This window comes from Homo sapiens, chromosome 10 (assembly GCF_000001405.40).
Source record: "Homo sapiens chromosome 10, GRCh38.p14 Primary Assembly".
Lineage (NCBI taxonomy): Eukaryota > Metazoa > Chordata > Mammalia > Primates > Hominidae > Homo > Homo sapiens.
In genome coordinates this window covers 91,836,896-91,852,613 of record NC_000010.11, presented here as the reverse complement: position 1 = coordinate 91,852,613, position 15,718 = coordinate 91,836,896, and the positions used below count along the sequence as shown (strand labels likewise).

At 37.9% G+C, this 15,718-nt stretch overlaps 1 protein-coding gene across 4 annotated transcripts in view; it reads right to left on the bottom strand.

The window, feature by feature from the left end:
- The window catches only part of TNKS2 (tankyrase 2), a 67,050-nt gene that overhangs the window by 12,862 nt on the left and 38,470 nt on the right, over positions 1 to 15,718 (bottom strand). For 3 of the 4 annotated variants that reach the window (XM_011540213.2, NM_025235.4, XM_017016699.2), the window contains 9 exons: positions 15,616 to 15,695; positions 11,908 to 12,053; positions 11,166 to 11,331; positions 10,223 to 10,442; positions 7,586 to 7,695; positions 6,674 to 6,862; positions 3,979 to 4,231; positions 3,020 to 3,102; positions 1,278 to 1,398 (listed from right to left, as the gene is read on the bottom strand). In XM_011540213.2, coding sequence (XP_011538515.1) covers positions 1,278 to 1,398; positions 3,020 to 3,102; positions 3,979 to 4,231; positions 6,674 to 6,862; positions 7,586 to 7,695; positions 10,223 to 10,442; positions 11,166 to 11,331; positions 11,908 to 12,053; positions 15,616 to 15,695 — 1,368 coding nt within the window. The remainder of the gene's footprint in view (positions 1 to 1,277; positions 1,399 to 3,019; positions 3,103 to 3,978; positions 4,232 to 6,673; positions 6,863 to 7,585; positions 7,696 to 10,222; positions 10,443 to 11,165; positions 11,332 to 11,907; positions 12,054 to 15,615; positions 15,696 to 15,718) is intronic. The other variant, XM_017016700.3, reaches the window with a different exon arrangement.

Below are 15,718 nucleotides of genomic sequence, written 5' to 3'. Positions count from 1 at the left end.
AGTTAAATGTGGTTTTGACACTTAAAACAATTCACCTTTTTATTTTTATTTTTTGAGACGGAGTCTCGCTCTGTCAACCAGGCTGCAGTGCAGTGGCGTGATCTCAACTCACTGCAAGTTCCGCCTCCCGGGTTCACGCCATTCTCCTGCCTCGGCCTCCCGAGTAAGTGGGACTACAGGTGCCCGCCACCACGCCTGGCTAATTTTTTTTTGTATTTTTAGTACAGATGGGGTTTCACCATGTTAGCCAGGATGTTCTCAATCTCCTGACCTCGTGATCTGCCCACCTCGGCCTCCCAAAGTGCTGGGATTACAGACATGAGCCACTGAGCCTAGCCAAAACAATTAACCTTTTTATTTTTTTATATTATTTATTTATTTTTTTTGAGATGGAGTCTCGCTCTGTCGCCCAGGCTGGAGTGCAGTGGTGTGATCTCCACTCACTGCAAGCTCCGCTTCCCGGGTTCACGCCATTCTCCTGCCTCAGCCTCCTGAATAGCTGGGACTACAGGTGCCCACCACCACGCCCGGCTAATTTTTTGTATTTTTAGTAGAGATGGGGTTTCACCATGTTAGCCAGGATGGTCTGGATCTCCTGACCTCGTGATCCACCTGCATCGGCCTCCCAAAGTGCTGGAATTACAGGCGTGAGCCACCGCGTTTGGCCACAATTCACCTTTTTATACCCAGACCTGGTATAAAGTGTTAACATCTGCTGAATAAATGCAATTTGCATTTTCCTTAAGCACCAACATTAAGGAGAAATAAAAATATTATTCAACTTTGTTTTGTTCAATTTCCTCAGTTGCAACATTATTGCTTTCCAGTATTTTCATCCCAAGCGCTTAAAATTTTATCTACATAAGAGATCTACTATAGTACTTTAAGGGTTAGCCTGAACACTTAGTTATTATCTATTATATTACCATAAGAAATGTGATACCTAAGTTTCAGACCTTTAAAATAATACAATTTAAGAGCTAGAATAACTTCAGAAAATAATCTCAAACTAACTTCCTTATTTTCAGGAGCTAAAACAATTCCCAAATTTCTGAATGGTCCAGAAATTTTACTTAGGTTCACATCGTTAACAGCAGCAGCTCAGTAAGTTTAAGTCAGTAGCACAGCTAAGACTTAATCCCAGTTTCCTGAATCCTAAATTAGTATTCTTCCTATTAAACAGATTCTCTCATATTTTTAAATTATAACTTAGTACACTGAGGGTTGCCTTTATGCAAACTGTTAAACTGACAACAGCAATTATTAAAATAAAATACCTTGTTGTCCGGAGATAAGTCTCTCGACTCCTTTAATTAGTTTGTGCCTATGTCCATAAGCATTGATTCCAATCTCCTTCAGCTCCTTGTGCCCCATCTCAACTAATACATCCAAAGTGATCTTACAAAAGAGGAGGAAACTACTTAGAATGCTTACTTATTTGGTGGACATTCATATATTGGTGTTTTCATAATATGTAAGATTCACACATTTACTCCAGATTATTTTAAACATTTCTAAAAATATTATTTCCATTTAGCATAAGAACCTGAGCAGAACTAAAACGCAAAACAAAAAGGCACTTTCAAATTAACCACATTCAGGTATTCTATTTTATCTTTTCCATAATACTTTTCTACCATCACTCTACATCCAACCCTATTTATATAATGTCTTTCAATGGTTCCTGCTGAGTCTGGACTATGCCAAGTGGTACTTCTGCATCACTGTTCAAAGTAACCCTTTTACCTTTAATACAGTAATACACTATGGCTTCATGAAATTGAAGCCATTCTTTAAAATCCTGTTTTACTTACACACGTTCCATGAAGCATTCCCTGATGAGCCTAGCTCACGGTAATCCTTTCCTTCTTCAAATTTCTGTTTTTTTATTTTTGAGACGGAGTTTCACTCTCGTTGCCAAGGCTGGAGTGCAAAAGTGCAATCTCAGCTCACTGCAACCTCTGCCTCCCGGGTTCAAGCGATTCTCCTGCCTCAGCCTCCTGAGTAGCTGGGATTACAGGTGCCCGCCACCACGCCCAGCTAATTTTTTGTATTTTTAGTAGGGAAGAGTTTCACTATATTGGCCAGGCTGGTCTTGAACTCCTGACCTCAGGTGATCCACCCGCCTCAGCCTCCCAAAGTGCTGGGATTACAGGCATGAGCCACCGTGCCTGGCTCCCTTCTACAAATTTCTAAAATCTATGCTAAAACTTGAATTTTCATATGTTCTTTTTTTTTTTTTTTTTGAGACCGAGTCTTGCTCTGTTGCCGAGGCTGGAGTGCAGTGGTGTGATCTTGGCTCACTGCAACCTCTGCTTCCCGGGTTCAAGCAATTCTTTGCCTCAGCCTCCCGAGTAGGTGGGATTATAGGTGCCTGCCACCATGCCTGGCTAATTTCTTTGTATTTTTAGTAGAGACGGGGGTTTCACCATCTTGGCCAGGCTGGTCTTGAACTCCTGACCTCAAGTGATCCACCCACCTCGGCCTCCCAAAGTGCTGGGATTACAGGCGTGAGCCACTGCACCCGGCCATATGTTCTTATTCTAATTCCATAACTACAATGAAAGTCCCTTAGAGTGCAAATCTACAGTAACATTATTTTCTGAACAACAACAAAAATCAGTAAATGTATTCTGACAGAGTACTTTAAACTGAGACTGCTTAGAAAAGCCCAGATATGGCTGGCATATTCATATACCTTCCCATAGCAGCTAGAAAAGTGTCAGGCTTGAGAGAGAACTGAATAGACAGTGCTCAAGGATAACTTACTTCAAGAACTGAATAAGCTAAACTTTCCATTCAAGAAAGCTACTTTACCATTACTACTCGAGTCAACTGTGTGCGAATAAACTAAATGGAAGTTTCAAGGTCAAGCCAAATTAGAAGGCTGACTGATGTCATTTCTTAAAAAACATTCTCCCCCAATAGCTTACATGGTTCAGCTCATTTCAAGTATGTTCCAAATTTTCCTTGAGTTTCCATAAAACACTAATCCAAACAATATGATTTATCTACTCACCTGTTCTCTCTCAAATATATCCATTAGGTGCTCAAGTCCAAGATTCCTTACGAATTGAGTTATGCTAAAATCTACTCCTGGAACTGGGAAATAAAAAAATCCAAAACAAATGGAATTTCACATCAGAATAATGTATTTCATCACTATAACAGTAAAGTCTTGTAATGTTACTATATATGAAGAAAATAATATTAATAGCCACTTAGGATATAATACTGAACAAGAGAAAGCTACAAAATTTCAACATTAGAAAAAAGCTAATCAATGGGGCAGTCTCAGTACTCTCATTTTTATTTTAAACTTTGTTTTTAATTGCATCTATATTTTTAAAACCAGTTTTCCTATCTTTCAGGATGTAAGCTACTTCACAAAAAAGTTTATGAAAACAAGCTCCACACTGTTGCATAAGGTGGGATGAATTTTAACAGAAAAGGTTTACATCTAAAGAGCAGATTAAGGGCGGGGGGCGGTGGCTCACGCCTATAATCCCAGCACTTTGGGAGGCCGAGGCGGGTGGATCACCTGAGGTCAGGAGTTCAAGACCAGTCTGGCCAAAATGGTGAAATCCCATCTCTACTAAAACTACAAAAATTAGCCGGGCATGGTGGTGGGTGCCTGCAATTTCAGCTACTCGGGAGGCTGAGGCAGGAGCATTGCTTAAACCCTTGAGGCAGAGGTTGCAGTGAGCCGAGATCGCGCCACTGCACTCCAGTCTGGGCGACAAAAGCAGAACTCCATCTCAAAAATAAATAAATAAATAGTAGGTTAGTAGCACAAGACTCTTCAACTGTCAACTTGGAAGGAAGAAAGTAATACAAGGTTAAACCTTTTTAAGGCTATGTTAACTAATTTTATACTAATACCTTGTATTTAAGGTTAAAAATGACTTTTTAGCATCCCAAATGACAAATACGGGGCTACAATACCAGTTAGAAAGTTATTTTTGTAGAACGTCTCACCCTCCTTTTTCTCCAAACTGGAAGCACCCTCTGTTCCACTTGAACTAACTACTGAAGACAGTTCTGAAAAACTCCCAGATAAGTTGTCAAGACTGCTGGCTGCAGAAAGGCTTGATGGGCTAGATGGACCTGAAGAGAGAGCATCTGCAGTGGCTCCTGGGCTTCTCACACCATTGAGCACTTGAGGCTTGTAACAAGAGGGCAGAGCAGATGGGGGCATGGCTGCTGTCAGAAGAGCGCTGACATCATCCGCCTAGGGTACGTGTCAGAGACAACATCTGCCATAAGCAAGTTTTAAAATGCTATTATACCTAATAAAATATATTTAAAAATATGAGAAAACCCAGCAATTTGTGCCAGTACTATCACAATGGAGGATTATTCATTTTAAAAAGTGAAGCAAACAGGTTAATACAGGTCAAACATCCCAAATCTGAAAATTTTAAAATGTTGACGTGAAGCTCAAAGGAAATGTTTATTGGAGCATTTTGGATTTCAGATTTGGGGATCGGGGATGCTCAACAGTAAGTATAATGCTTGAGTATAATATTTCAAAATCTGAAAAAAATATCCAAAAGCCGAAAACACATCTGGTTCTAAGCATTTCCGATAAGGGATATTCAACCTGTATCCAGCTAAACTGTTATTAAAATATAAGACATAACTGAGAACATCTCTTCCAAAACACATATTGTCAAAATATAATTTAAATATGGCAAAGCATGAACAAAACCCTAATTCTGATACTGTGACTGAGAAGCACAACGAATTACAGAAATATCAATTTTAAAAGGTAAGAGATTTTAGTCCTATTGTAGTTACTCTGAAAGAAGTAATTCAACCTACACAGAACTTTAGCAAACTGAATTGTTTGTATTTCCTGGAAAATATTCAGCAATGTATTTGTTCCTTAAAACTGAAAGTTTTTTGGAGAGGAGGTGGGTAGAAAAGATAATCATTTTAATCAAATCTGCTAGAATGGGGCCAGGTGCAGTGGCTTATGCCTGTAATCCCAGCACTTTGGGAGGCCGAGGTGGGTCGATCACTTGAGGTCAGCCTGGCCAACATGGTGAAACCCCATTTCTACTGAAAATACAAAAATTATTAGCTGGGTGTGGTGGCGCATGCCTGTAATTCCAGCTACTCGGGAGGCTGAGGCAGCAGAATCATTTGAACCTGGGAGGCGGAGGTTGCAGTGAGCCCAGATTGTGCCACTGCACTACAGTCTGGGTGACAGAGTGAGACTTCCATCTCAAAAAAATAATAATAAATAAAAATTAAAAAAAATCTGCTAGAATGGAAAAAAGTCCTCACATTTATTGGTACATTAATTTGTTTAATTTGTAATATGTACTCTTCTTTCACAACGTTCAACTAATGTTCAGCAAGGAATAAATTAGTACTTGTTTCATAGTCATTTGTTCTGACTATTCCAGTCATCACCTTTCTCTTCCCCCAGTCTATGCATTCCCATTGCACTCACAATTTGTAAATGACATTTGTTTATAATAATAGTACCATTTATTGAGTGCTTTTTATGTACCTGATACCATGCCAAAGACTTTAAGTAAATTACCCCATTTAATTCTCATACTAACCAGATATATTTTACCTCTATCTATAGATGAGGTAACTAAGGTTTAGAGGTTAGGCAGTTCATAAGATTGTACAACTTAAATCGTGCAGCTGGAATTCTAGGCCCAGTCTGTCTGACTCTAAAGCCCCTGTATGTTCTCTACAGCATTTTGCTTCATTGTAACTTAATTGTATCTGGTCAACTAACATATGGGTGGAATGAATTCCAAATGTTCACTTTTAAGGTAACTTGGAACTAGAAAGATATTTCCCTGAAGAGATAATGTTGTAAATATGGCTGGGTTGTTAGCTGACTGAGAAAAACCTACTTAAGCACCAATGCAGCTGAACTACCTCAGTTTCTTATTGTAATGTGGAACAATGTAATCTTTCTCAGTAGAAAGCAGTCTGCAGAAAAGATTCCCCTTCCTTCTCATCTCAAAAAGAATTCCTTCCTCCTTTCTTTCCACTGCTCTAGTCAATGTCCTCAGTGGTAGAGGCAAGAGAGGCATCTGCTTCAGTGCCCAAAGCAGAGGTGGAAGGTTCAGTGGAAGCTCCTACACCTGCTCCATGCTCTGGAGAGAGGGGAAGGAAAACAGGACCTCCACAGGAAAGTGGATAATAGACTTGTTTCATGAACAGTTAAGGTAGGGTGAGCAACAAGAACTCTGGGATGAGGCAGTGTGGGAGGAAAAGGAATCTCTACTGGCAGCAGGGTTTGTGGCTGCACCTTGGGGGGCAATGTTCCCAGTTGGGGCCGTGTGTAAGACCCATGGTCTGTACCATCTGCGCTGTATGCACTATAAGTAACAGCATTTTCTGAGGGCCTGGGTCTGTTTAGTTTCCTAACTAACGTAAGCAGTTATATCATGTACTTCTTTTTCCTATTTCCAAAATACTCAGTATATAATAACTGATTGATAATTCTATTCTACAGAAGGATAATTATATTACTTTATAATTCTATTATATTTTAATACTAAAGAACTCTTACATTAAAATCAGGCTAAAACCCAGATTTTGCCATTCACATTGACTATAAAGACATTTTATAATAACATCAAGTGAATTTTAACAAGTCAGAAAAGCACTGAGATTTTTCAAAAAGCCCATCACTTACTGAAACTAAATCTAAAGGTGTTTGTCCTTCCTGATTTTTAAGAGTCGGGTCAGCTCCATGGGCTAGCAACAAAGCACAAAGCTGTGTTCGTCCCTTTTGGGCTGCTTCGTGCAAAGGTGTGAAAGCCCATTTGTCCGTGGCATTGACACATGCATTATACTTTATTAGTAGAGCTGCTACATCTACATGCTGTAAAAGAAAATACCCGTTACAGTCTGAAATATTATTTTGTCACACTTTACTTTCTTAAAATGAAACTAGTTACGTACCTACTTCCACATTTTCAAACTTATTCTGGAAATGAAAAGAAAAACTCTTTCTCCCCAACATCACAACTTATGAGTAGCTGATTAAAAATTACAGTGGACATTTCAATAACTTGAGAAACTATCTAGAAAAGAGTTAAGAATTCTATTTAGCAGGAAACTAGACTAATATGACTTCAATAATTTCTAATTTATTCAAATGTTATAACTACTAAATGTCAATTTATAAAGCAGCAATCTTCCTCAATTATTCAAACTATACCATTGAAGATGGTCAATTTTGAATGTCACATTGGACTATGATAAGTCAGGAACAATGCATCTGAATCTGTACAGATTCCATCTACCCCGTTGGTGCCCCAGTGGATTTTCTGGGTACCAACAAATAAACACAATCACCAACATCTCACTGAAAATAAGAGACAGGTGTTAAGGCAGATAATAAAACAAACAACAATACACCGCATATCACACAGCAAGCTTAGAACAGATTCAGAACCGAAATTTGGAAGTTATTTAACTTCTTTAGCTCTGCCACTTACTTCTCTGTAAAATGAGAACATCAAACTACATTCCATTTGAGCTGCAATACTGACTTTCACTTTAAAATTCCACAAATTTTTAAAGGTAACACGGAAGAACTTACCCCGTAAGATGCTGCATTATGTAAAGGAATAAGTCCTCCTTTGTCTTGGGCATTCACATCAGCTCCGTGTTGTAACAAATACTCTGCAACTTCTAAATTATTATAACCAGCTAATTTAGAAAAGAAGTAAAATTACTTTACTTGTTTTTTCTTTTTTAGTCCTATGTCATAATACTTCCACTTGTTAACATAAAAAAGTCATTACATGTATACATATATATATGTATTTATAAGGCATAGACATTACTGAAAACATAAAAAAAGAGATTTTGTATAAATCTGAAATAGCTCATTGGACTCTATTAACAATTTACCTTCTGGAAAACATTTCCCCCTTGCCTCAAGTTGGAAGCTTTTTGTGTTATCAATTAGCTTTGTAGATTCCCAAAATTATATTGACTGATTTGCTTGTATCTTTCCTATGAAAACCTTCCTACCAAAGTCTCTGCCTTCATGGGTGTTACATACCACTTCTTGAACTCAGGTACATGGGTCTCAGAGGCTGCAAGTCAAAGGTCTGCAATCACATACAAGTCAAACCAGAGTGGGCCTCAGAGTCCTCTTCCCCAGAAGGCCACAAGAGCATGCTTTTTTGCTAGAGAGAACTCAGAGGTACACATCTCTGCAAGTCTAGTAGAGGAACTTAGGTGCTGTTAAAGCCATGAAATAAAACTTATTTCTATTATAGTTTTTATCCTTTTGCTAAAGGATTTAAAGCAAAAGAATTTAAAAAGATCAAGTAAAGAAGAATACAATTATAAAACTACCATAAAATATTACATTAATCTAAAAGTCTTTCTAGGTCTCAAGGTATGGTATTTAACGCTGCAGAAGTGGACAGAAATATTTTATGCATACAAATTATTTGTGACTTACAAAGACAACTTGGACACAGTAATGTTAAGTGTTCTAGATAGGCTACAAGAAAGATATAAAAGCTAACATAAATATGCACAGCACAACTTCCAATCAAAGGTCAAGTCATATTTTGTCTTGCATGGACTAGAAACTCCTGATAGCCAGTGGAAGTAAAGCTTTTTCTCACCATGTTAGCATTTGTGGCTTATCACTTCCAAAATACTTGAAAGACACATAGAGTAATTGGTTTCTTTGGACAGTGAGGTCTCAACTTACATGGAGTGAGAATTTAAAGGTAAAAATCATGTATAACACCAAGTTATAATACAAGACTGAAATGAACATCATACATTTCCATCTCCCACATTACACGAAATGGCAGAAATTTTGCATTATTTTTTCTTGCTTTTTATACCATGTTTAAATCATGTATATTTAGACAAACTTGTATGAGTCCGCTGTGTCTATGATGGAACTCCACTGAGGTATTAGCTATAGCTCAGTGATTTTAATGATTTCCTAACATCTGTAATGCAGCTGAAAAAGCTGTACTGAAACCACAATATATTGTATATTTGCACTGAAAACAAAGGTACACTGTGCCAGTTTTATGAGTGAAACCTTAAAACAAATGTCACGAAATGAATTGTACCCTGCAAAATTCTTATGTTGAAGCCCTAACCCCAGTACCTTAGAATATGACTCTATTTGGAGACAGAGCCTTTAAAGAGCTAAAAAAGTTAAAATGAGCCCATTAGGGTGGGCTCTAATCTAATTTGACTGGTTTCCTTAAAAGTAGAGACTAGGACATATAGAAAGAGACACCATGTTCCAATGGAGGACACACTGAGAAGGTAGACAGCTGCAAGCCAAGAGGGGGTTTCAGAAGAAACCAACTCTGCCAACACCTTGAACTTGGACTCCTAGCCTCCAGAACTGTGAGAAAACAAATTTCTGTTGTTTAAGCCACCTGGTCTTTGGTATTTTGTTATGAGAACTCTCACAAACCAAAACAACAGATAACTTTGGTGAGAGGCTTATGTAACTTCTGAGAGTTTTGAGATTTTTTTTTTTTCCTGCTTGTGCTTAGCAGCTACCATCAGGAAAAATAGAAAGCTTTAGCTTCCTATAAGGAAGGCTGGCTCAAGTAGGCATATTTTTCAAAACTTGTTTACCAAAGGTGATACCAATAAAATGATTACCTGGAATAATGATTCCCAAAGCACATGGGGACTGGCAGAGCCTACTTCAATTGTTCTTACTGAATGTAACATACTAGTAATAAAGTGAACTCGAACTCAGCTAATAGCTTCAAGTACGGTCGTCCTGTACAAATACACTGAAGAGTATAATGGTGGCATTAGAAGATACTTGATTTGAATTTTTATTTATTTTTTTTATTTTTTGAGACAGGGTCTCACTTTGTTTCTGGAGTACAGTGGCACAATCAAGGCTTATTGCATCCGTGACCTCCTGGGCTCAATCTTCCCACCTCAGCCTCCTGAATAGCTGGGACTACAGGTGCACACCACCACTCCTGGCTAATTTTTGTAATTTTTTATAGAGGTGTGGTTTTGCCATGTTGCCCAGGCTGCTCTCAAATTCCTGGGCTCAAGCAATCCTCCTGCCTTAGCCTCATAAAGTGTTGGGATTACAAGTGTGAGCCACCATGCTTGGCCTGATTTGAATTTTTAAAGTTTAGTTACAGAAAATATTTTACCTGGGTAAAATGAATCTCAGATATTACCAGCCTAAATCTGTGAAACTTCATTCACTTACCTGCTAAATGTAAAGGTGTTGAATGTCTGCCTTGGGTATCGCGGCAATTTACATTATCAGGAGAAGACAACTTCTTCACTCTGGCTAAACAACCCTTCTTGGCAGCATCTAGCAAAGCTGCATCTCCCCTAAGCAGATCTTGAATATCTGTATCTCCATCTTTAACAAGATCCAAAGGAGTATTTCCATCCCTGTTTTTTTTTGTAGGGTCTGCACCATGCTAGGCATGTGAAAAACAGAAAAAAAGGGGGAAATGGCTTAAATGTGCCTTTGGTCAATGAGAAAATAGTCAGTGTTAACTATACCAAAGAAAAACTAAATTTATATTGAGACTCTACTTTGAAGGTTAACATCACTGTTACTAATGTTTATACAAAGAATTATTATAAAAAGAATACAGAGGCAGTTAAATATTACTGGATTTTTTAATGCATTAATGTAGTCAAAATTTTAAACTACATTCAAAATAAAGTCATATTTCATTAAAAATTAACTTTCATGTTATACTATTTTTACTTTTCATGAACATTTAAATAAAGTATAAATCTCTGTATTCTTGTTATTGTAAAATATCCACTGGTATCTGTACTGAACCAGTATCATCCATTTTATCAATGCTAAATAAATCTGGCTTGTAAGTAAATAATTCATCAAATATTTTTATATTTGATGAATATAAAAGTACCAAAGAGAAAAACTAAAAATAATAAGAGAACTATCACATGATAGTTGGCTCTAGACAAAAATAACTCTAGGTGCTAGTAAACATACTTGTGGATTAAAATATAAAATGTTTATTATATTTATTCTAAAATCTAGGTACAGAATTAGGTAACATTGCTTCCCATTGCTTACTAGTTTAACTTTATACTAGAATTATTTAGAAAACCATAAACATATGCTATGTAATTCATACTCTTTACAGTTAAGTATTTAAATATACCTGGAGCAGAAGTTTGCAAATTTCATATTTTCCTTTTGCTGCTGCTTCATGTAAAGGTGTAAATTTCCATAAATCAGCTACATTAACTACTGCTCCATGTTTAACAAGAAGTTCTGCAACTTCATAATGTCCATAAGAACATGCATTGTGCAAAGGTACAAGGCCTCTGAAAAGTAATAAATGAACAATAATGCCACAGAAGAACATGTTTTAATTTAAATAATTACATATAACTGATGAAAGATAATTCTTGAACTACATAAGGAATTATACTGATTATACTTTGTAGAACCTAAATCTATTTAAGGCAGAAATAAGTTCTTTTTGGTGAGTCAGGGGAGAACATTTAAAAAATGTTTTAAATGCAGAGACTATAACATTCATCCATATATGCAACGTCTAGAATTGTATATTTTTAATAAAAAATAACTTCAAGATAAACTGGAAGAATTAAAAAACCCTCCATGGAAACTGAAAAATTTACTACATTAAAAGTCAATATCACACTAATGTTATAATCTCCTTGGCCATTATAAAATTCTCAGGCATTATGCCAATAAAGTCTTTATATGAATGCTAACCATATAAAATCTTAATTGAAATTAAGAAGCTCTATTTAATATTTAGGCCAATGTTAGGAAACAGGCTTTCTTGAAAAATAAAACATATTATATTTCCAGGTTTTCCTAAAAAGGTCAAGTAAAAGTAAGGAAGAGAGTCCATAACAATCATTGGCATTTACCCTTTATCTTTAGCATGCACATCAGCTCCATGCTGTAGCAGATATTCCACCACGGACACTCTGTTATACCCAGCTGCAAAATGAAGTGGTGTAGACTGACGCCCTTCAATGTCTCTGCAGTTGACACTCTGAACAGTACACAGTTTCTGAAGGACAAAACACAACATACATGATACTACATCTACATATTGTTATTTCTTGTTTCAAGTCATTTAGTAGGAATTTTCAAAGTGTCTGACTTATTTTCTTGTCTCATTAAATCAGTATTCTCAGAAACTATTTAGTATTCTTATTTCACCTTGTCATTTACTGGGAATCCCTCTGGTCCTCTCATCCATGCCCTTTTTTTTTGTCTTATTATTTTTTTGAGACAGAGTCTAGCTCTCTTACCCAGGCTGGGGTGCAGTGGCGCAATCTCAGTTCACTGCAACCTCTGTTTCCTGGGTTCAAGCAATTCTCCTGCCTCAGCCTCCCGAGCAGCAGGGACTACAGGCACATGCCAGGACACCTGGCTAATTTTTATATTTTTAGTAGAGGCGGGGTTTCACCATGTTGGCCAGGATGGTCTTGAACTCCTGGCCTCAAGGGATCCTCCCACCTTGGCCTTCCAAATGCTAGGATTACAAGTGTGAGCCACCGTGCCTGGTCTCACGTATGCCTTTATATTCTACTTTTTCTAACGCTCAAGGGTAAATTTTATCATTACCGCTACTATATATATATACAGGTAAACTAAGTGCCAATCATCAGCAAGTGTAACTTGCATTTTGTGGCAAATATACATAGAGGTACATGAGATTACGGTAGTACCAGCATTACCAAGGAGCTTATTAAGAATTCAGAATCTCAGATCTCTATCTACTGAGTCAGAATTTGCCCTTTAACAAGATCCCTAGGTAATATGGAAACACATTAAAGTTTGAAAAGTACTCCTTTAGAGCAGTGGTTCTCAAACTTTAATGTGCATTGGGTCCAACCCTCAAATTTTCAGTGTAACTGGTGTGGAGCCTAAAAATCTCCACTTCTAACAAGTTCTTGGGTGATGCTGATGCTGGTGGTTCAGTAACCATACCACTCCATGTGGAATGAAATAACTAATAGAATGCTGATGGTTAGGCTGAACGTGGTGGCTCATGCCTGTAATCACAGCACTTTGGGAGGCTGAGGCGGGCAGATCACTTGAGGTCAGGAGTTTGAGACCATCCTGGCCAACATGGCAAAACCCTGTCTCTACTACTTGGGAGGGTCAAGCAGGAGAATCGCTTGAACCTGGGAGGCAGACGTTGCAGTGAGTTGAGATCGTGCCATCACACTCCAGCGTGGGTGACCAACCCAGACTCCATCTCCAAAAAAGAAAAAAGGAAAAAAAAATGCTGATGGTTTATACAGTCCTGGGGAGAATTAAGAAAACAGTCAATTTTCTGTGCTCTTTGGTTCAGAGGAGGAAGTGTAGTTATGAAAAGTATGAAAGTTTGGGGAAGAAAAGCAACATAGATAATAAATCAGAGTGCTTAAAGAGTCAAAAGAATATATCTATCTTAGGCCGGGCACGGTGGCTCACGCCTGTAATCCCAGCACGTTGGGAGGCCAGGCGGGTGGATCACCTGAGGTCAGGAGTTCGAGACCAGCCTGGCCAACATGGTGAAACCGTCTCTACTAAAAATACAAAAAATTATCTGGGCGTGGTGGCGGGCGCCTGTAATGCCAGCTACTCGGGAGGCTGAGGAAAGAGAATTGCTTGAACCCGGGAGGTGGAGGTTGCTGTGAGCCGAGATCGTGCAATTGCACTCCAGCCTGGGCAACAAGAGTGAAACTCCATCTCAAACAAACAAACAAACAAAAAGAATATATCCATATTAGTAAAAACTCTTTCCCCCTTTTTACTAACCTACTCCCAAAACAGGGATAACCTAAGCTCAATAAAATAAAGGAGCCTACTATCAGTGGGTTTACCTCAAGGGGTTTAATCATTGTCCTGGTAAAAAGCTCTTCTGTGCTTCCCAAATAAGATCTGGCTAGATATACAGATTCAGGGCCCCATTCAAGAGATGGTATTTCAGTGGGTCTCAAGTCAGGTTCCTAGAAATGACTATTTTTAACACGTGTACCAGGTGCTGCTTGGTTTGGTAGTTATCACAGGCCATTCTACTCTTTACCTGTCAGTTTAATTTTGTCCACTCTGAGATAGGTTTTCTAATAGCATGTGTCGAATAAAGTATCCAGCCTGGTGGATTATCAGTGAACAAACACAACTGAGCACAATAGTTAAGTGTTCATTAGGTAATACGCAGATGTTCTTGTCCCAGTGATTCGTACAGAGCCATCTGTCTGGAGGTAGATAAGAAGAATGGCTGATGGAGATAAATGTCCATCAAGTGATTTTAAAAGCAGAGGGGAGGGAAGAAAGCCTGATGCCTAGCACAGGTTTTCCTGAATCCAATGGCATTACTGTGTTCCCTAAGTCCATTTCCTGCCCCCCAACTTCATCTCCTCTTTATCTATCCCCTCCTCTGGACTCCCTCTATCTTTATAAAAACAAAGTTTAGTCTTTAACATGTTTACTAAATATAGTTTTATGTTCTTTAATATATGTAAGAGAATGAGCATTTACAATTCTGTATCTCTCCCTTCCCACAAACAGCAAAAAAAAAAAAAAAAAAAAAAAAAAAATCAGCTAATTGCTTTCAACTCAATTTTCATGTTTCCTGAAAAAAAAATCAGTTCACAACCTTTTAACTGAAGTAATTTGTATTTCCACAAGTCAGTAGTAATAGAAACAAAATCCTCCTTTCGATATCCTATTAGCCTCCTACTTAAGGGAATGAGAATAATGAGGATCAAAATAAAAACATGTCAAATAATAAAACTGCATGATAGTTGCATTTTTCTGTGAGAAATGAATTTAGAAAACAAATCTGAAGTTATCTGAGATGTCTATACTGTCTCAGCCTCCCAAGTACCTGGGATTACAGGTGCATCCCACTACGCCCAGCTAATTTTTGTGTCTTTAGTAGAGACGGGGTTTCGCCATGTTGGCCAGGCTGGTCTGAAACTCCTAACCTCAGGTGATCCACCCGCCTCAGCCTCACGAAGTGCTGGGATTACCGACAGGTGTGAGCCACTGGGCCCAGTTTTACATACATATTTCTACAGCAAGAGTCAAAACAGTAAGAAGGGTTACTCTGGGGAAGACTCTTGTCGGAGAAACAGGTAAGACCTGAAGTTGCAAGCCCTGGGAAAGAGAAGTGGCAACATTGTATTTATTATTATACTAAGCCCTGGATCCCTAGAGGTAGATGGGGTGAAGAAATGAAGAAATCAGAAGAAATCTATAGACAGAAGTGATACACTGTTTTTCCCCTTTCTTGTTTTATGTGTCATACGTAAACAGTAATATAAAATAATTTGATAAACTTTATTCTGTTAAAGGGACAAATGAATAGGTTCTTCAAGCAAAACCCATTTGGTATTACCCGAATTTATTTATATTTGTGAATGTAATATTCACTGGGATGCAGGTGAAAGTGAAGTCTTTCTCTTTCATTACTTAAAGCTACTCATTTGTAGAGAACAATTAAGATTGTATTATTGACCTTTTAAGGCAAGGCCCATACAAATAAACCAGGCTCTTCATTGTAACAGTACAGATTAAATAACAATGTCAAAATAAAAACCCAAAGTTAACAGAAACGTAACACTGTATCTTACTTTTACAGTTTCGACATCTCCAGCCTTTGCAGCTTCCAGCAATTGTCTGTCTGCCTCTGAATTACCTAATGAGATACCCTCTAAAAAAGAGAGAGAGAGAGAA